General features: G+C 36.6%; 1 annotated feature.

Annotated features, from left to right (window-relative positions):
- Nucleotides 317-611: a silencer, noted in NCBI's record as "tiled region #6593; HepG2 Repressive non-DNase unmatched - State 24:Quies, and K562 Repressive non-DNase unmatched - State 24:Quies". NCBI's record gives its function as "represses a minimal TATA promoter and a strong SV40 promoter by Sharpr-MPRA in HepG2 and K562 cells {active_cell/tissue: HepG2 | K562}" and the evidence as "EXISTENCE:reporter gene assay evidence [ECO:0000049][PMID:27701403]".

The following is a 2,971-nucleotide window of genomic DNA, read 5'->3' as shown; positions in this document are numbered from 1 at the left end:
ACTGACTGATGCAGAGATGTCAACTCGCAGGGTGAAATAATTTGTTTAAATTTTATTTAGTGACAGAAGATATAGAAACCTCCGTCAACCGAGACAGCTACAAGAAGAAACATTGTGGCATACTCCCAATCATGGGAGCCTACCAAATTCCCAAAGCCCTCAAGGAGGTACACAGCTCCAGATAATGCCTTCTTAGAATAAGTTTCCACCAGATCTGAGAAATAATATTTACCAAGCTTAGAGAGTTTTCATACTCTCCTGGTTCTTTTTCATTATGCTGGATTTTTCTGCAACTGGCTATGTGCCTGCCTGCTCACCAAGTGAAATCACTGGTACAAAACAATCTCAACACATTCCTGAGTGTTTATTGCTCAAGTGGGGGAATTCAAGGTCAGCCTCCCATGAGTTCTGGTTTCCTGTTCCTTGGCAGAACCAGGTCTCAAGGCTCGCCGTGTCTATTCCTTGACAACCTATTGGAATCTGTCTGAAACCAGTCAAACAAAAGACAGAGCTAGTCACGGTAGTGTGCCAGCATCTATTTTAGACATCAATTCAGAATGCTACACTATCAGTTTGCTTGGACAATGAATCAAGATCCGTTGAGGTTAATGCAAGTCAAAGATACTTCTCCATTATGACAAGCTTGGTGCATATCTGTGCAAGCTCTAGACAGGGCATGAGCTCATGATAACTTGTAGCATGCTCAGTGAATGAAGAATGTGTGACTTTTAGGCATCGAAGAATTCCTAATTTATAAACTCTAGAAAAATCATATTTTTTTTCTGATTAGATTTTCTAAGGGACTCATTGCTTATTTCTTTTTATTTCTCCTTTCCCACAAGTCTTGTCACTAACTCTACATAGTCACAAATTTAGCACTACAAGTACAGATTCTGTATAATTCTGGACCAGAACTTTCCCTTTATGCCAAGCCAAGGTACTATGTTTGGCTTTAATTCATCACTCTGACCTACTTTGTTCTCAGCTTTAAAGAAAGAAAAATTAAATTAGCCCTTGCCATTAGGATAAAAAAGTTGTTTCAGCTTCCCTCCACTAAGGTACTATTTAACCACTGAACTTGTAATACATTAAATGGAACCAGAGTGGCTCTAAGGAATTAAGGCTGTTTCCTAACTTACTTCAAGGCTCATTAAGAGAAGAGTTTCCAAAAAGTGTGTTTCCAGTTTATTTCTAGTTTAAACTTCTCTTATACTACTTGTTTGAATTAATAGGGCTTCACAAATATCTTTTCGGGCATTGGTGAGATACTTAAGAACAATAGCATTTTATATAAATATACTAAACTGAGGTGGTAGTTTGGTCATCACATGGTTTAGCTGCTTCCCTACCCAAGTCTCATCTTGAATTGTAGCTCCCATAATCCCCATGTGTCATGGGAGGGACCCAGTGGGAGGTAATTTAATCATGGAGGCGGTTACCCTCATGCTGTTGTCATGACAATGAGTGAGTTCTCATGAGATCTGATGGTTTTATAAAGGGCTTTCCCCTCTTTTGCTTGGCACGTCTTGCAGCTGCCATGTGAGGAAGGACCTGTTTTCTTCCCCTTCTGTCATGACTCTAAGTTTCCTGAGGCCTCCCCACCATGCTGAATTGTGAGTCAATGAAACCTCTTTCCTTTATAAATTATCCAGTCTTGGGTATGTCTTTAGTAGCAGCATGAGAATGGACTAATGCAGGCCACTTGTGAAAATATTGAATTTAGAGGACAAAAATAAGAAAAAGAGAATGTAGAGATGCAAAGGAAGAAGGAAAAGTTGGTAATAAGATTAATTATAAATTTCTGGGTATGTTTATATTTATTGAATTTCTTTTACATGTTAGGCTTCATTCTGGGTGTTTGAAGATACATCACTAAATAAAACCAATTAAAATCTTGGCATTCATGTAATTGAGAGTATAATTCAGGATATAGAATATAAAAAATAAATAAATAAATGATTTTATACTTTAGGAAGAAAATTTGGAGGGGATAGGAGCGTAGCAATATGTGTGTAGATGTTGTGATTACATATAAAGTGGTCAAGGGAAATGACACTGAAAAGATATCATTCGAGTGAAGATGATGAAAATCTGGGAGTGAGCTATATAATAAGGAGAAAACAAGAAATACTTCACTTTAATAGCAGGCAAAATAGGTGATGACCATTTATATAATATCAGTATTGTGTTTTCAATTAAAAAGCAGCTTATTAAATGAGGAGTATATCTCTAGCTTTCAGCTATGTACTTTTTCAAGTCCTGCAAAAAAAAGAGGCTTAAGATTCTCTCGCTGCTCAAAGGACAAATACTCTTCCATCCACAAATTGAAAACAAGACAATTAGGAAGGGTGACTACATGTAACACATTTCTAATCACTTACTACAATAGAGTTGAATTTATTTAGAAATACTGCAGAACTTGCTGGCAAAAGAAGAGAGGGATTTCAAGAAAGAGTGAAGGAAGAATATGAGAAGCAAAGATAAAGATATAAGGATGAAGAATAAAAAATAATAATGTAGGGATGCAGAAGGAAATAGTTGAAATAAATAAATTGGCTTGATTACAAAAGAAAGTTATTCACTGGAAGTTAGGTGGCTAAAGCAATGCAGGATTAGGAGGGCCCTGATTTCTGAAACAAAATTTCAGTGTCTGAAATTGTTGGAATAAATAATAATTGACATTGCAAGTAGGGTTTGCTTGCCAAGACACTTCCTCTTTTGCCAATTATGATGTCTGGATGTTCTACTATTCGTCATTGTTTGGGTTTAGACATTGTTCCAGAAGTTTCCTATAAACATGCACATATGCAATATGTTAGCAAATGCTAGTTTACTTGATTTAAGAAAATGCTCCACCCTCTCATGTCTTTGCTTAATGTCCTCTCAAATGGAATTGCGGATTCTCTTGTAATTCTTATAATATTACTAGTAGCAGCAGCAGTTGTAATATTCAAACACTCACCTTTCCGGC

The sequence above is a fragment of the Homo sapiens genome, chromosome 6 (assembly GCF_000001405.40).
Source record: "Homo sapiens chromosome 6, GRCh38.p14 Primary Assembly".
Lineage (NCBI taxonomy): Eukaryota > Metazoa > Chordata > Mammalia > Primates > Hominidae > Homo > Homo sapiens.
Note: the sequence above shows the minus strand (reverse complement) of the source record. Positions and strands in the feature narration are given on the sequence as shown.